The 18,548-nt window shown below is 42.4% G+C and overlaps 1 protein-coding gene across 11 annotated transcripts in view, besides 2 other annotated features; it reads left to right on the top strand.

The window, feature by feature from the left end:
* Positions 1–16,299, top strand: part of STARD13 (StAR related lipid transfer domain containing 13) — a 573,658-nt gene extending 557,359 nt beyond the window's left edge. For 9 of the 11 annotated variants that reach the window (XM_017020835.3, NM_001243476.3, XM_047430759.1 and 6 more), the window contains 7 exons: positions 1,173–1,371; positions 6,505–6,715; positions 7,544–7,658; positions 8,529–8,750; positions 9,346–9,563; positions 12,502–12,678; positions 13,726–16,299. In XM_017020835.3, coding sequence (XP_016876324.1) covers positions 1,173–1,371; positions 6,505–6,715; positions 7,544–7,658; positions 8,529–8,750; positions 9,346–9,563; positions 12,502–12,678; positions 13,726–13,843 — 1,260 coding nt within the window. In that variant the 3' untranslated portion in view covers positions 13,844–16,299. Of the gene's footprint in view, positions 1–1,172; positions 1,889–6,504; positions 6,716–7,543; positions 7,659–8,528; positions 8,751–9,345; positions 9,564–12,501; positions 12,679–13,725 lie in introns of those variants that run through there. The other 2 variants (NM_001243474.2, NM_001243466.2) reach the window with 2 other exon arrangements.
* Positions 9,607–9,696: an enhancer, noted in NCBI's record as "active region_7569". NCBI's record gives its function as "activates an Ori minimal core promoter by ATAC-STARR-seq in GM12878 lymphoblastoid cells {active_cell/tissue: GM12878}" and the evidence as "EXISTENCE:reporter gene assay evidence [ECO:0000049][PMID:35858748]".
* Positions 9,797–9,856: an enhancer, noted in NCBI's record as "active region_7568". NCBI's record gives its function as "activates an Ori minimal core promoter by ATAC-STARR-seq in GM12878 lymphoblastoid cells {active_cell/tissue: GM12878}" and the evidence as "EXISTENCE:reporter gene assay evidence [ECO:0000049][PMID:35858748]".

The raw sequence follows: 18,548 nt of genomic DNA, 5'->3' as shown, positions 1-18,548 counted from the left end.
TATTAGGCTTTCCTCCAGGTATAGGGGGGATGAGCAGTGGCTGACACTAGTGGCCACTGTCTACCTGACCAGCCACTCAGGAAGGTTCTACCTTGCTTTGCAGAAGTGGGCCAACCCATGAGCCACTGGGGAATGAGAGCTGTGAAAATTGAGGGTTGAAGCAAATCAACTCCCTATAGGCATTTAAAAAATAGCAGACATATTATTTCACTATAAGCCAGGGTGCCCAGGAAAGTTCAGTTCCTTTTTGAATAGCGGGTAAGTCCAGCACAGAAAGTTCCTCTAGAGGGCCTAGAGCTTAACCTGCCCCACCATTGCAGGATCTTCATTCTTGCCGGGCTCTGCTCTGCCTCACTCATTCTCATTAGGGCCACTCTGTCCTTGATGCCTTAATGCTCCATTTATTCATCAAGTAGGGGAGGAGTCTAGACTCTAAGATGAAAAAGGCATGATATGACAATATCTTGAGGTCTGAAAAAAAAGCCACCCAGGAATCATTCTCACTAGAGCCATAGCTTACTGCATAAAAACAAACAGGTAGAAAAGTAAGTGCCAAGAATTCCAAAGAAGAAAAAGTAAATAAATTCCTTAAATCAAAATATGTACTTATGATATTAGTCTGTTTCATGAACATATTCCCCATAAAACTCTCCCCTGCAGGGGCACTGGATATGGCTGTTTATCTGGGATTCTTTCATCCACGACCCACATTGTTTTCACCAAACCTCCCATTGACCAGACGTTCTCAAAATCCCCATGGCAATGTAAACCCTAAAGGGCAGGGAATTTTATCTGTTCTGCTCACTAATGACACCTAGGAACTCTAAGCATGCCTGATACACAGTGGTTACTTAATCACTACTTGTTGAATAAATGAATAAAATAATAATAACATCTGCAGTGTGATAAGATGTAACAGGTCGCAAAGCACATGCACATCTATTTCCTCACTTACTCTCCACAGTAATCCTGTGAGGTGGGGTTTTATTCTTATCTTCATTTCATAGGAGAGGAAGACAGTGTTCGGGTACTGCCTAAAGTAGCTATACTAGTAGTTCAGCATGTACTAATTGGGAGGCAATTCCAGCTCATCCAGTTCCCTTCCCATGCTTCCTCCTCCTCCTCACAACCAAGTGTGGCCTGGCTGACACATCCCTATGGCTTTGTTTCAGGTGGGTCTTTTTCGCAAATCAGGAGTGAAGTCTCGAATCCATGCCCTTCGCCAAATGAATGAAAACTTCCCTGAGAACGTCAACTATGAAGACCAGTCTGCTTATGATGTGGCGGATATGGTGAAACAGTTCTTCCGGGACCTCCCTGAGCCTCTTTTCACCAACAAGCTCAGTGAGACCTTTCTCCATATCTATCAGTGTAAGTGGAAATAATGAGATTGGTGTTCTCGTGGGCATCCTTCCACTTTAATGAAAATAATTCCCTATAGATTGAGTTTTAATTATACGAATAATACATCAATCCATAAAGATGTATGTAATCCTGCTCTCCTCTACGGAAGTAACTTTTGCTCAAAGTTTGATATGGAAATCCACAAGCCATTTTTTTATGCATTTGAAAATACCTTTTTGACATCAAAATATTCCTTCTCAAAAGAGTTTTGTGTATGATCTAAAACAAACTTTCAATACATTTACAAAAATTTAAAATGAAAAAGGGACACAATAGAAGTTGTTTTATATATAGGTATTTATTAAAACTTATTCAATTTTTTAAAAAAGTAAGCATTTCTTTGGGATATAGGAAATTCAAAGTGACATGAATTAAAATGACAGGAAATAAAAACAAATGTATTTTAGCACAAAGTATCTTCATTGGTGAAAAGTAAGCAAACCAAATCAAGTCTTAAGCTTAAATAAACTTATTTATATTTTCACTTGGATTTTTTTTAATAATGTTAAGTTCTCAGCAAAGCCTGTATAATTAAAATAATCCCTGAAAATAACAATTGTTGATTAAGAAGCATATCCTACTATAAGTGGTTGCAATGGGGGTATTAGAAATAAACACATGGGCTGGGCATGGTGGCTCACGCCTGTAATCCCAGCACTTTGGGAGGTGGAGGTGGTTGGATTGTCTGAGGTCAGGAGTTCAAGACCAGCCTGGCCAACATGGTGAAACCCCATCTCTAACTAAAAGATACAAAAATTAGCCAGGCATGGTGGCGGGTGCCTGAAATCCCAGCTACTCAGGAGGCTGAGGCAGGAGAATCACTTGAACCCAGGAGACGGAGGTTGCAGTGAGTGGAGATTGCACCACTGCACTCCGGCCTGGGTGACAGAGCGAGACTCCATCTCAGAAAAAAAAGAATGAAATTAAACACGTGACTCTTTGCTAGATATGACAATGTTAACATTATGAATTATTTTGATGGTCCAGATCCCAATTCATGGGGGAAAAAAGCCATTTGGCCCATGGACTTTGAGTTTTGAGTTTTCAGCAAAATATGCCTGAAATGGACCTTGACATGGACTTGATTCAATTTGAAGAATATCCATGCTATAGAGAATTCTGTATAAAATGTGTTTAAGGAGTCCATGATACTGCAAACTCAGAAAGGATTGTAATCAGAACCACTTGTGAAAACAGATTAAGGTGGCAACCCACTAAGTAAATATTAGTTTTTCAAAGTAAGTAGATTAAGTTAAGTTAATGGTACAAGTTGCTAGAGCCCAAACAGGGAGTTCTTGATGTTGTTGCTGTGAGAGGTTGAACTACATTTTTCAATTAAGTCTCCCTTATGGTTTGGAAGTATCAGATATGAGTCTTTTACATTTAATCAGTTCTTGGATTAAAGTTGACACTAGTCTAAGGCTAAAGCCACATTACTTTCAAGAAATAAATGTCTTTGGCCCTTTCTGAGTCACAAGCAAGAAGCCAGATCAAAGCAGGCTTTATTTTAGCTGAGCAAACATTTACAGAGCGTGACTTCTGTACTGGGCACCGTGCTTAGCATGGCAGAGCATATGGATGGATGAGACTCACTCTCTGATCTTAAGGATCTTACAATTGAGGGAGATGAGGCATGAACACAAAAAACTCCAACACAACAAATTTGGAGAATTTCCATAGAAAGGTTACAAAGAAAAGTCCAAGGAGGGAGAGATGAAGAATGAGGGCTTCATGGAGGAAGTGACAACTGAAGGCTGAGATATGTGAGGAACACATTTTGGGTACCTGCTCGGCAGATAGCATAAGCAGAAGTCAGGAGAGCCCAGTGTATTCATCTGGCTTGCATGTATGGCAGACATACAAAGTGACACCAAATGACACTGAAAAATGACGCTGGGGCCATAAAGGAAGGACATTGAATATTAGGGCAAGGAGTGTATGCTTGATTCATTAAGCATTGGGGAACCGTCGGGTGTTGTTGAGGGACTTACCAGTTACAGTGTTCTCAGCTGTAAAGACAGAACCAAATATCCAACGAACAGTCATTTGAACAGTCATTTAAACAATAAGTACATTTTATTATCTCACATAATTCCAGAGTTGGGTATCCCGCAGCTCAGTGATGCCAGGGCTAAAGTCAGCCTCTATTGGCTTTCCCTTTAAGGTCACAATATAATTGTCACAACTTATAATTATCACATCTTCACAAAATCACATTCCAAGACAAGAAGAGAGTGACCACGCTTCTCTTTGGCCATGTGTCTCTTTTTATCAGGGTCATACATCTTACAGAAGCTCTCAGCATTTTTCTTGGCCCTCAGGCAGAAGTGGTTTACAGCTTCCCCCTTAAACCAAACACTGGAAAGAAGACCTGGGTTACCAGTTTTGGTTTAGGGCAGCATGGTTCATCCCTGGGTCTGAGGGAGACACCCATTTCCCTGAGTACATTGCAGCTCACACCTGAGCAGAACATGTGTTTTCTTAATGAGGAAGAAGGGAAGAATGGGTATTGAGTTGAGCAGGTGGCCAGCCTTGTATCTGCTACAGGGAGAAAGTCCATCAGCACAGTGTCATTGACCCAGGAATCTGGAAGTGGTGCACAAGAGGCACCGAACTGGACGAGCATGGAGACTCAGGGAGTCAGCATACTAATCAAGGTTCCAAATTACCTGCAGGGACTTCCAGCAGTGAGACTGGAGAGAAGATATTCCATGCATAGACCCTAGAGTCAAAGTTTCCAAACTGCTACTGTGGCAGAGAGGAACGGTTCCTCCTCCATTTCTCCAGAGAAGTTCTGTTTTCAGCTATGCCACTTCTTGGATTTTTGTCAAATGATGAACTAAATTGGAGTGTTGGATGGGTAATGAAAATATTTGAGTCCTACCCATCTGGAGGAGGGAGAAGGATAGAAGAGTCAAAGACAACCATAAGGCTTTAAGGCCTGATGATTGAAAGAATGTGGAAATTGGAGGGGAGAAGGGTTCAGAATCCACAGGAATCTGAATTTGAGGTGCCAGGATCCCCCATATGATTGCAAATTATCCACACTTAGAAATTCAGACCTAGAATCATCCCCTTAGAGCCAGGAAAGGGGCAGGACCCGCAGCAGCATGGTATGTAACAGAAAGCTAAAAGAGCATAGGATCCAAAACAAATGCTGAATTTAGGTATTTGAAGCGTTTTTAGTAAATAATAATAATAATAATGGACAGGAAGTATTTTCTGATGGATAAAAGAACAAGCGGATAGAAAGGGAACTGAGACAACATATAGAGATGACAGGCGACTCTTCAAAAATGATGGCTGGGAAAAAATGTTGGCATGGAAAAGAAGCTTAGTAATCTAAAGTTAAACAATGTATACACACTGGACACCTTACCTAGAGCAGCATATTTAAAACAATTCTGCAGCTCAAGCAAAACTTGTTACACCTCTCACAAGCTTCAGATCATTAGTACCATCTGTTTCTCCTCCACCCTAAGCGAGAGTAAGAAAATGGGTTCACTCTAATTTTAACAAAACGGCTCTTCTCTGTAAACCCCAGGTATATCTTGTGCCAGTACACAATGGACATGGTGGGAGTGGAGACGGGTTTCAGACCACTGAAGGCATGCTCAGGCTTTTCTAGGAACTTGGATTTGCTAATCAGGGCCATAGTGTGGTCAGCCCTGGCATGTGACGTCATGCCTCCTGCATGAGACTGCAGGCGAATCCAGCATCGATAGCCCCCCAGGACCACAAAGCCTGGGGCCAGCCAGGACCCCCTCAGAAGGTCACACCTCAGCCCTTCTGGAACAGCCAGCTCTGAGTTTGTTTTTATCATGCACTCCTGCCAGTAGCAAATATCTGAATGTGTATTTATGTTTAGTAATATAAATATACTGGATGTACTCTAATGTACTATGCACATTATAAAGCACACCCAATCAGTATTTTTAATGGGTAAGAGAAAAGATAAACACACGTGGGAGTGCTAATGATTTCTTCTCACACCTCAAGAGACTGTCAGGAGCACACCTCCCCACCCCTTGAGAATTCAGACACCCTCGTGTGGAGGCCCCTGCTCCAGAACATGGCACTTTAAGAAAGACAACAGTGTTGACAGAAGCAAGCTCCTGACGGTGTCTTTCGCAGTGAGAGGACTAAAGTGATCATGAAATAAACACAGCCACAGGTGGGAGCAGCAAAAGGCAGCACCTATCACTCATTTGGTGTGATTTCCATTTAGTTCCCCTCATATTGTTGGAACCAATTCCCTGGTAAGCCTGCATAACCAGTACCCACTACCACAAGGACCACCCTCAAGGGTAATGGCACTGAGAAGGGCCAGACATCCCCCATAACCTTAGGCTGCCTGGTTCTTCTTCTCCAAGCACAGCCTCCATTTCCATAAACCCCAAGATTATGGAACAGGTGACGCTGGGTCTCCACATGAAGTCAATAGCAGGCATCCTGCAAAGCAAGTCCTGGGAGATTTGTAGGAAAAAGGAAGATGTACAGGCTTCCCCTCGAGAAGCTGGCCCTCTAGGAATGAGGTCAGAGGTCCCACCAGCTCAACACCACTCCCGGTGAATTGTGCAGCACTGGCATCATGGCCTGGCTGGCAGGGGTGGAGAAACGCAAGGCGAGGCTACTGTTCCCTAACCCAGTGGTTTTCAAACCATGTCCCACGGAGCCTTGGGCATCCTGAGAGTGGCTTCCCAAGCTGTCTGTCAGGGAGGATGGGCAAGAGGGATGCCAGGTTGACAGAGTCCTAATCACCAACTTCACCCAGAAGCCTTCTGAAAGCAGGTGAGTGGGTTGATTGCTCAGAATACAGAAAACCAGGATGGTGGTGCCCCTTTCTAAACCCTGCTTGGCCATCGAGAGCGTGGGATCCAAAGTTCAATTGCAAGGGTTGGGACTCAGCTCTGCCTCCCATGAGCTGCGAGGCCTCAGCAATTACTGACTTCTTTGTGCCTTTCCTGCTGTTCTGGTTGTTTTTGTTGATGATGACTCTGGGTGCGTGTTCACACGAGGAATGTGGAGCTTACACAGTGCTTCCCAGCTGGCTCTTTCTATGTCTGCTCCTCCAATGACCTGGCATCCACTTTTCCTCAGATGTCTCCAAAGAGCAGCGGCTGCAGGCCGTGCAGGCTGCCATCCTGCTACTGGCCGATGAGAACAGGGAGGTCCTGCAGACGCTCTTGTGTTTCCTGAACGACGTCGTCAACTTGGTGGAAGAGAATCAGATGACGCCCATGAACCTGGCAGTGTGTCTGGCCCCCTCCCTCTTTCATCTTAATTTATTGAAGAAAGAAAGCTCTCCACGGTGGGTTTTTTTTCTCAGTAACAACAGTAATCCCAAAGCAGGCATTCCCACAGTTCATAAGACTGGATGGATGGATGGATGGATAGATAGATACGAATGGATATATTGGTAGACAGATTATAGATAGATAGGTAGGTAGATAGATCAACGATAGGTAGATGATAGATTGATAGATAGTTGATACATAGATGATAGATGACAGCTAAATAGATAGATGATAAATAGATGGTAGATGATAAAGAGAGATAAATAGATGATTGATAGGTAGATAATAGAGATAGATAATAGATTATAGATAGATAAAATGTGTCTCATGCTACATTTCAACTTCAGGATTTGTCAACACTCTTTTCATAATCAGAAAATCTTGTGAGACACCCTAATTCACGGGGCTCAGATTCATAGAATTATTGAGCTAGCATTGAAGAATGCCAGCTGTGATCCAGAAAGCTTGAGTTTTATGTTGTCTGTGTGAGTGAGGAGGAAAACATACACAAAGTAGTATTTTACAATTTTTAAAAGGCTATATTTAAGACCAAAGCACAGGAGCTTGCAGTTAAGGGGTTTCAAACTTTGGAAAAACAGATTAATTTTGTCCCCTGCTGTTCTTCCTGCCCTTTAGTTTTCCAAGATTTTTCCTTGTGAACTGTCAGACTGTTAGCCTGATTCAGATATCTAAGATATGTGATCATTGTTTTTATTTGGAAACGCAAAAGCCTGGGATCTGGATAGCATCTGGGTATAAACAGAAAACAAAAGGGATGAGTTTGGTATTGTGACAAGCTCGTTGGTGTGGGATCTGCTTAGCACACTCACGTTCAATTACAGAGTCATACAGAAGAAATATGCCACTGGGAAGCCAGATCAAAAGGACCTCAACGAGAATCTGGCAGCAGCTCAGGGGCTAGCGCACATGATCATGGAATGCGACAGACTTTTTGAGGTGAGCAAAAGGCTCGAACCTCCGCCTCCCTAGTAGCTCTTGGAACTAGATAAGACGCTTGGGATTGTTGCTACATTTATGGTTTCTATCTGTTTGTTCCTGATTTTATGACAATAGTATATGTTATAGCTCTGGTGTTTGCTTCCAAGAAAGCTGAGGAGCTAGCTATACAATTGAGGCTTTGATAAAGACACTTGGGATTACCATACTGATGGTTTTTATGCAAACAGTGCATCACCTGCCATTATCAGGTTCAAGGCCAGTCAGCCAATTATGTTCTATTTGATTTTACCTTGGAGCTTGATTAGGTTAAACATCTGTGTGAGTGTGTGTATGATACTGAGGAATCTTTGTTGCTAAGAACCAATGACAGCTTATGAATACAGCCACAGATATGTAAAAGAAGTAAGTGAACCAGACTTGTGGCATACTTTTGTGATAGAATTGGCATTTGTCAATGGGAAAAGTGTGCTAAAAAAGTAAAGCTATTCCCAAGTCATGTTTGATGTTTCCCTTCACAAGTCTGTCTGTTTTAAGTCTTATTCATAGTGGGTAAAGTTGTCTGAGCCCATATTTTGCCAAACTGAATAAAAAGACAGTAAAGGTAAAATAAAAGGGAAGTGAAAATAATAAAGGGGAAGTCATTGCAATGTTTTGAATAATAAATACAGCCTCAGAAACATGTTTGTATTTCCTGACTTTAGGAAGGCCCCTCCCGGCCTTGGCAATGATCTTAGAAAAACATCTCTGGCCGTGTGGCCCTCGGCCCGTGGCTCAGAGCCGGGTTGTGGGTGAAATGGCTTTGCTTTCTTTGAGTCTCGGCGTTTCTTTGGCTCAGTGTGTTGCCCTTTCATGCATCCGTTGGTCTAGGTTCCACACGAGTTGGTGGCCCAGTCTCGTAACTCGTATGTGGAGGCTGAGATCCACGTGCCAACCCTGGAAGAATTGGGGACACAGCTGGAGGAGAGTGGGGCAACTTTCCACACTTACCTGAACCATCTCATCCAGGGCCTCCAGAAAGAAGCCAAGGAGAAGTTCAAAGGATGGGTCACGTGCTCCAGCACGGACAATACAGATCTTGCTTTCAAAAAGGTAATCTCAGAGGATGGAAAAAGATCACCCCCAGAAAGCCACAGCTAACAATCAGACATTTGTTTTTGCATTGAAAACAGCTGCTGTGTCCACAGGGCTTGGCACACACGCGGACAGTTAAGGCACATGAACCATTCAAAGAACTCAGTCCAGAGATCTGTTGCCTATAATCAGAGAGTAAACTATGGAGCCGGACAGCTGGATCCCGGTCCTGTCTCTCCCCCGTAGCTGTGTGATGTTGGGCAAGTCACACACCTCTCTGTGCCTCAGTTTTCCCATTTGCAAAATGGACATTGTAAGAGTACCACTGTCGGAGGAAGGCTAATTTACAAACCAAATGGCTTAGAATAGTTCCTGGCACACAGTAACCACTAGGTGTGTTGGTGATTATTATTTTTATCATCATTATTATTCTTTTAAGCTTAAGGACTAAAATGTTACAGCTGAGGTATGTAGTATCACTCTCAATTTACATAATCAGTGATGGTTTTTGAACACCCAGCAAGGTATGATAGCAAAACTAAAAGCCCAAACAAAAAATGTTGGACCCATATCCCAGACAACCTCTTCAGCTTCTGACGTTGTCTTTCCCAAGGTGGGCGACGGGAACCCGCTGAAGCTGTGGAAGGCTTCTGTGGAGGTGGAAGCACCCCCCTCAGTGGTCCTGAACCGCGTGCTGAGAGAGCGCCACCTGTGGGACGAGGACTTTGTGCAGTGGAAGGTTGTGGAAACTCTAGACAGGCAAACAGAGATCTACCAGTATGTGCTGAACAGCATGGCTCCCCATCCTTCCAGAGACTTTGTGGTTCTCAGGTGAGCCTGACTCTAGGGTTTATGATGTTCTGTTCCAAAGGCAGGACGCGAACTGTAGATGTGAGCACTTCTCCTGGTGTCTCCCACCAAAGTCCAGCCTCCACGGGGAACACTAAGCCGGCTCTTGTTTCCCTCAGTGACATCTGAGTTTTCTGTGTCGATGCCCGACTTCCTGTGTCTTTTCACCCAGCCTACAGCTCTGCCTGGGCTCTCTGATTGCCCCTCTCCTTGTGGAGCACACAGTTTATTAGGCCATAAATATTATTCATTTCCTCAGAGCAGACGGCCCAGAAAAGCTGCTGTTTGTCCGGTTGCACTTTCTGCCAAATTATGCAAATGGATCTGACTGGCTTTTCTTCTGATTTTGTTTTTCTCCCCTGGGAAAGTGTGTGTAACTCTCAAGACTGGAGTAGGTTTGACTTCAGAACTCATCTGTATAACTTCAGATGCTCATAGCTATTACTATGCTCAGAAACCTTGGCACTGCCCTGGAGGTCCAGAAAATCTTGTTGATTCTGTGTCTGCCAAGGAAATATTTCTTCTGATTGATGTAAGGGTTGAGTTCCAGACCCCTGTTCTTGGGGTTTGGAAGGGGATGCTCAACCAATGATAGAAAGTTTGCACAGTAGAGATGCAGTGTTGCATCAGCCAGAACAGAAATTGAGGGTGCTAAAGAACCTGAATAGAAGGTAATTAGATCAATATATCCTTTTTTATTGAAAATCTTGGCAAGCCTTGTCTCATGTCACAGATCAGCAGTGTAAAAGGAACCTATTGTGAAACTCCCAAATGTATATTTAAAACGCTTTCTTTATGAAACCAGTTTTGATGGCAAACTAAAGGTTACTTTTCACATGAGCTCTTTATGACTTGGGAATTGGCCCATGGAACCTTGACTTTTAAAGGTCAATTTTCCCTAAATATATGTATTTATCTCTGCTTCCTTGGGATCCTGCTGGAGAATGCAGGCAGTTTATAAGGGTGGCATATTACCAAAGTTATTAGGACATTAGTCATCTGGTGGAATTAAACTTCATGCTTTCACTCCACAAGTGGAAAGTTGAATAGCTGTTGCAGGATGGCTGCCATAGGAATGGGGCCATGCCATAGCGTGCCTCCTCCCTCCCTCCAGAGGAGGCTGAGGGCCTGAGTCTGTGTGTAGAACCTCCCTCCTTCCATCCATCCGGCAACCCCACCAGCCTGCTATTTATCAGTGCTTCGTTCCATCACGACCACGTGCCAGGCACTGCAATAGGCTCTGGGTATGCCAAGGGAATGCAGCAAACCCCTCTCCTGCTCTCTTGGGGTTTGTATTTCACTGGGGAAAGTCCATAAAAAATAAGAAAGGGAGATGGGCTTACTTATCCTGGGAGGAATAAGATAGGGAGATAGTAAGGGATGGAATTTTAAATAGAATGGTCAGGGCGGGGTCTTGCTGCACTGATTTTGATCCAAGACTTGAAGAAGTGGAGTGGACCATGTGGCCCTGAAGGAGAAGAGGTGCAGCCCTCCACGGGCTAACAATGAACCAGATCTGGTTCCCAACAACAGGAATTCCTTATGTGTAGGATACAAGGAGGTGGAAAGTGATGAGTGTGGTGAGGAGGCACGGGGCTGAGATGCCTCCTGTCTTCAGAGCATCTTACAGTCTAGGCTAGCATGTATGAGGCTGGTCACCTTTCAGGATTGCTGCATTTGTCTCTCATGTCACACCCATTGCTAGCTCCTCGGGAGCTTCCGCTGAGAGTTGCTGGAGATTCTCCCATTTATCCCAACAAATCTCTACAACTTTCAGTCGTCACGATTTATCACATCTTCGTTCATGAAAAGAGTAGTCACAGCATGGAAGTCGCTGAGCATTTGTGTGGGGCTTGGTTATTCCCAAGTTCTTGTCAAGCACATATCACCATTTCTCTTCCTGGTGTAGGAGGACAGGGTGAAATCATGGAGGACATGACTTAGTAAGGGAATAGAATTTGTGGAGTAAATCATGGGAATTCTAATAATGCAATCTATTATGATAGATCCCTGGGGTAGAAAGGGAAGTTAGAGGTTGTTACAGAGATGTTCTCATAGCTCCTGACTCCCATCCACAACCTTTTTTCAAGGGGTAGCCACCTCTGCTTGAATAGCTCTAGGAACAGGGAGCTCACTGCCTCCCAGGGCAGCACATTTCATTTCTGAACAGTGCACATTGTTAGACAGTGCTTCTCTCCTGCACAGAAATGTACTTTCCTATCTCTGCCTTCTGGAGTCAAATCAACCATATTCATTTCTTCTCCCACTCAAGAGCCACTCAAGTATGTGAAGACAATAAGCAGGCCCACATATGTTTCTTTTCCTTCAAGCTAAGCGTACCAGTTCACTTCTCTTTGAGCATGCCCTCCTCCAGGAAGCCTTCTCCATATTCCTCCCGCAGCCCCCTCTATGTGATCCCAGAGCCCTCTGTGCATAATCTTACCAGTGCATTTACCTCAGTGCTTTTAGAATTCTGTTTAGAGTGTCAGTATTTTTCCTCCTGGGCTGTGTATATCTTTATGTCCTTGGTGGCTTCTCAGAGACTGGCATGTCTATCTGCTTAATTGATGTCTGCTGAATGAATCGAATGAGTGAGTTCTAATAATAAACTGTAAAACCACCTCTTCGAGAATGGGCAGGAGCCTCTGCAGCTAAGCAGAGCTGGGGATTCCAGATGCAGATCTGAAAGCTGCAAGACCATTTCTGGCCTCACAGTCCCAGAGCTGAGATCCTTGCTTTGAAATTCTCTGTATAAACTTTACACAAGCTTATGAAAGCCATTAGCTTAATCCAAGTCACTAGCATTGGAATCTGAGCCCAGGTTGTTGGCAGGAAAATATAAACACAAACCTTAGCTCTGTGTTCAGGTTCTTCTTCCTCCCTCAGTCATGACTCTGATGTGCGGATTGTTTTGCTACAGGACCTGGAAAACTGATTTGCCCAAAGGAATGTGTACCCTGGTGTCCCTCTCCGTGGAGCATGAGGAAGCCCAGCTCCTGGGTGGTGTGCGAGCAGTGGTGATGGACTCGCAGTACTTGATAGAACCGTGTGGCTCTGGCAAGTCAAGACTGACTCACATCTGCAGGATAGACCTGAAGTAAGTGCTGACTCCCTTAATGGCAGGCTCAGATCTTGGGAGTCTCAGCTTGTACAGCACATCCAGCAGGGATGTCACCCTGATTTCTTATTTCACTGTATTTGTTTCCTCATTGCCATTAGTGTGCTTTCATAGGTGGATATGTATGCCTCCCCTCTGTCTTTCCCCCTTTCCTGAAATTCTGACATTTCTCCTGCAACTGTTTGTCTTTCTTTATTTTCTGTTTTATGCCTACTTATATTTCTGTCTTTCTCCCATGAAACACACACCAGAAACAGAGCCTGACACATAGTAGGTACTCAGTAAATCAGAGTTTCCCTCTCTTGTGTTTCTTTTTGAGACAAGGTCTCACTCTGTCACCCAGGCTGGAGTGCAGTGGCACCATCAGGGCTCACTGCAACCTCCACCTCCTGGGCTCAGGTGATCCTCCCTCCTCAGCCTCCCCAGTAGCTGGGACTACAGCTGCCCACCACCACACTCAGCTAATTTTTGTATGTTTTTGTAGAGACAGGGCCTCGCCATGTTGGCCAGGCTGGTCTCAATCTCCCAACCTCAGGTGATCCGCCCACCTCAGCCTCCCAAAGTGCTGGGACTACAGACATGAGCCACCGTGCTCGACCATGTATTTCTTTTATGCCTGTCCCCTTTTGCTGCTCCCTCTGGTAGTTCTTTGAGAAGTAAGTAACTTACATCCAACCCCTTCAAGGCATTCATGATGCTAAACCCAGTTCTTGGTCTGGGTAGACAAAACGGAGTTTTCACAGTAAATTCTGGATTTCATCTGAATCTTTTCATTTTACCCCAAGATGTTGGTATCATTTTAAAGCACCTGATGAGTACTCAAATGACAACATGAATACTTAGCAGCCAGGACGTTTTCAAGGCCCCTGATGGCAGAATGACGTCCTGAGCCCCTCAAGGCAGCAGCCCGAGCTGTCTGCAGGTTCACTGGTCATCGGGGCCCAAGGGCAGCCCTGTCCACCAAAACTAATTGCTGTGATTTGGAAACAAACTTTCCCACTTCCTTTCTGATTTCTTTCCCCACAGAGGTCACTCCCCAGAATGGTACAGCAAAGGCTTTGGACATCTGTGTGCAGCAGAAGTTGCCAGGATTAGAAACTCTTTCCAGCCCCTCATTGCTGAGGGCCCAGAAACTAAAATCTGAGTTTTGCCCAGTGTGACATCAAACTCAGGGAAGAGGAAGCTAAAGTGACGAGTGTGGCAGAGAGTGTGCATGTGAGAAAGCGAGAGAAAGAGGAACTGAAGGACGCGGTTAATGCCTAAAAATGGAAACGTTAAGAAGTTGGAATGTTGGAGATGCAAGAATTTCCAAGAACTTTCTTAGCCTTCCTGGAGATGGCTACATCCCTACTAATATAATTTTAAAATGAGAACTTTATATATATTACTTAAAATTAAATGGACTATTCCTTGTGCATTGCCTAATTTGCTATTTAAAGGCTTCTAAGAAGCGTATACCTAACTGTAAATAAATGTATGTATAGCATATGTACATATGTGTGTATATCTCCATCTTTACTGTATATATGTAAAATACCAATTTTATATAGAATTGTGTGTTTTGAAAATGACGGTGTCTGACTCAGTGAGTCCCTTCCTCACACAGTTCTTTCCAAGTGGCTCTGGGCCCCATCTCTCCACTGTCCTGTAAGCTGTGCAGAACCTGCTGCTAACACCAAGGTGTGAACATGCCCTGATGCCTAACCAAAGATGAGTTAACCAAAGGAAAATAACATTAAAGGAGACTTATGTGTTAACGCTTTGTTTCTGCTATTCAAAAACTGAGAGTGGAGATCTGGGATAAAGCAAGGAAATAATAATTACTCCTCCTTAAAGCAAATGGGGGGGTGAGAAGTCATTACCAAATTTAAAGCTAGATGAGGAGTTGCCACTGGGCCCAGTAAGATGGAATTTCAGTGAGATATGGACCACCGGAGTCAGCGAGAGTGACTGAAACAGAAGCGATACCTCTCGCTCCCATGCCCATCACTACAGACCCCAAGTCAAGATGAATATCATAGCCTTTACTTCTTCACAGCCAAAGGGAGCCCCTGTGTTGTCTCAAGTTTTTATAAATACATTTCATAATGTTATTAAATGTCATTCTATTTGACCAGTGGCCTATTTGGTCACAGTTAATTGGTGTTTTCTTATTGCACTGAATTCAACTCCAGACACCATACAAAGGGAGATGATGGCCATTCCGTTCAAATCCTAGATCGTTACAGCTTCAGGGAATTCATATTTTGTTATGTGTAGGATACTCTTAAAATGTAATTCATTAAACTTTTACAATCTGAAAGACAGGGTTTTTAACTAACATGAGACCAAAACTATGTTCTTTGATTAGTTTTAGATAGTATAATCGGGTTTATTAATTCTTCTGTGTTTCTTCACTAGCCAGTCCAAGCTACCTATGCATTTGACCCAACCTTATTTATTATTGTACAGATGAAGCGAATTGACTCCCTTTAGCCAACTGCTAATGGATCGAATGTGCTTTTTATTGTAATTCAACAGCTATAGAGAGAAAGATAACTTATTGTGTGTTTGATTTCAGGGAGAGAGATTTTCTTTGGTCATCCATAATAGAGATTGATAAGATTTAGCAACTGGTGTTGGAGAAAAAAAGAAAAGCAAATGAGTGTTTTCAGGTTTTTTTGCATTATATGCATTTATGTAATGTTTCTGTTATCAGCAATGTGCAATTATTTTATTGAGAGGAATAAAAAAGCTTTCTATGAGTTTGGTATGGTGCGAGGAAAATCTTACAGTTTGAATTATGACCTAGAAATTTTTCATTCCCATATCTACCTAAGAAGGAAGCAGTAAATCCATAATTTACCTTTTGGGCAATGCTTTGTGAGCAAAACAAAGTCACTTCTGCCATAACATCTTGAATTTAACCATATATGCCAGATTACTTTATATGCATCAACAAGATCACCAGTGAAGTTTAATCTAGCTAAACACTGGTCCTGCTCCTGAGATGGGATCCTATGTGTTTGGAAAACGTGATAGGCACACGAGGATGAGTGGCTTTGTATCGCCCAGAGAGGTGCTTGTCCAGATTTCACATGCACATGAATTGCCTGGGGATCTTGTGAAACTGCAGACTCTGCTCCAAGTAATCTGGGCTGGGCCTGAGATTCTGCATTTCTAAGGAGTCTCAGGGATGCCTATGCTGCTGGCCTAAAACCACACTCAGAAACGAGGACCTAGAAGATCCCTAAAACAGAATAAGAACAAATGTGATTGTATTTCTGATTCTCCCTCTCTTCGAATTATCTGACTTTTTTGTTTTTGTGCACATAGTAATCATATCACCGCTGCATAACAACACAGTGCATCTTTTTAAAACAAGGAAAAGGGAAAAAAAGGAGAAAAAACGATGCATCAAGCTTGTTTGTCAAATACCACAGTATTTTATTCATTGTTATCTTGCCAATGGAAATAAAGTATGATATTGCATTTAAATATTATATTTATACCTCATGTATATTTTTACCTCAATTGTTGATATCAATCATCAATTGTAAATAAATAATTGCCAAGGCAAATAAATTTATATATATTAAATATTTCCTATTTTCTATAAAATAGATGTTGATTTTCATGCTTCATCTTTAAATGGAAAATTTGCTTCATGAGGAAGATTTCTCCCAAGATAGCCTGCCATGACTTTGACTCCTTGGTACCATCTGTAGTCAATACTGTCTTCAAATACAAAGAAGTTGTTGTCAACAGACATTCACTATCAGGCTGGGTGCCTTAACCTGGATCTAAGGGATTAAAGTGATGGGTGGGGATTTTTTTTTCTTAAATTTCATTGTCCTTAAATCTAGAAGTTATAATTCATAATTTTTTTCATATTCATAATATTTTTATCAAAGGTTTAGTAAACTCTTTAGCTACATTTTATTTTTGTTAAGTGGACAAGAAATCAAGATATGATGAAATGACTTACAGCCGCACTACTAGACCATGAAAAGTAGCCACAAATGACTCTAAATCTCTTCCCTTCTACCCTTGAAATCTGAGCATCTCTTCTAAATATCAGCCCAGAGAGCCCTTAAGAAAGCCGGGGCTCTCAAACATTCTCAGGCACAGGCTTCCAAAGCCACAGAAGCCCAGAAGACTGTATGCCCCTACAAAAGTTGTCCCAACTCTGCTCTCTTATCTCATGCACACCTTCCCCTCTTACTTGCAAGTTTTGCTTTCATAGTAGGCAAAGGGGGAATTCAATGGCGCTTTTTCTCTTCTACATGAAGGAAAAGAATGTGATGGTCATTCTAGCAGCCGCAGGCTACAGATGTCCTGAGAGTATGGATCATATGAATTCAAAGGTGATTCTTGCTAATTACTCTGATCTCATCACCATATATGTATCAAAACATGCAGTGACTATGTACCCCACAAATATGTACAATTATTATTTGTCAACTAAAAGAACTTTGAAAAGGAAAGAAAAGTTTTTTACATTATTCCAAACACTCTTCATGAAATTCTTAGACATAAAATTGTTCCACCTGTGTCTTTTGATATTTGGTTACAGAAAAACTGGACATATGGTTCCTTCTCAGGAAGATAAATGTAAAGGTTTAAAACAGACCCCAACCAAATGGAGTGTCACATTCTGATACGAACGCAAAGTCAATGTGTGCTGACTGCACAAGCAGTGAATAAACACCTGACCTTGTGACACTGGAATGTTGCAAAGTCATGAAGTTTAAACAACTGATGATGTACAATTTTTGACATTCCATAGGCAGACTATATCCCTTGTAGTTTTTCTTAAAGACAGTGTTTACTTTCATTTTAATAATCCCACTCTTCAGCCTCCTAGATGTCACCTAGTTTATATCCTTCTGGTGCACAGCTGAGGCTCAAAATTCCCAGCAATATTGTATCTCTGCAGAAAACTTGCTTGCATAAGACTTTTATTCACTCAGCACACATTTATTCAACAGTGAATAAGAGTGGGACACAAGTAGGCAGAGGCGTTAATACAAAGAAGACATAATGTGGGGGCAGAAACTGTGATATACAGTCAATTTTCATTGTTTGTGGTAGTTCCTTTCTGTAAAGTTGTTGCAAACACTGAATTAGTGAATACTGAACCATTGCTCCTAGCAGAAATACAGGATTAGGTTCCTGTGAGCCTCAGGTCACAATATTTTTGTCAACCCACCACTACATAACCTTGTTTTATTGTGTTTCTGTTTAAGACACCTTATTTAATATATAGTTCTTATAAGTTAGTTATCTGCAGTATTTCTTTATAATAAAACCCTAGCAGAGAAGGATTTAACATTTCCCTGATGCTGGGTAACATAACTGTAAATTTCTTGGGCTTTCAGCCTCTCAACAGTACTCTTTTTACTACACTTTAAAAATCAGTTGTCATTTTATGAGTCCACAAATTTAGCTGTTTTTCTGTCTTTTCCATAGTTTCTTCATGCACTATAAATATCACTTCAGCACTTTCCAGAACAGCCTCATGTACATATTGGTGAACTTCCTTTTCTGGATGTACTATATTGTTGATTGATTAACAATGAACTCACACCAATAGCCCTATAACTCAAGCATGAACGAAGCTCATCTAACATACATATTTTCTCCATGAGGCATACCCCCAGCCTTCTTGTACTTAGGAACATTAGACAGCACTTTAGTGCAACATCTGGGGGTCATTTGGAAAGTGAAATTACCACCCAAAAGCACAAAAATTTGAAAAAAATGGCAATTAATAGACTGTAAAAAGGGCACATTTATAGTATGTGAGCCGAAACAAGAAGGAAGCGAGCACACTGACCTCAGCTGGGAATGTGCATTCACATCAGTGA

This window comes from Homo sapiens, chromosome 13 (assembly GCF_000001405.40).
Source record: "Homo sapiens chromosome 13, GRCh38.p14 Primary Assembly".
Classification (NCBI taxonomy): domain Eukaryota; kingdom Metazoa; phylum Chordata; class Mammalia; order Primates; family Hominidae; genus Homo; species Homo sapiens.
This window is presented reverse-complemented; position numbering and strand designations above follow the sequence as displayed.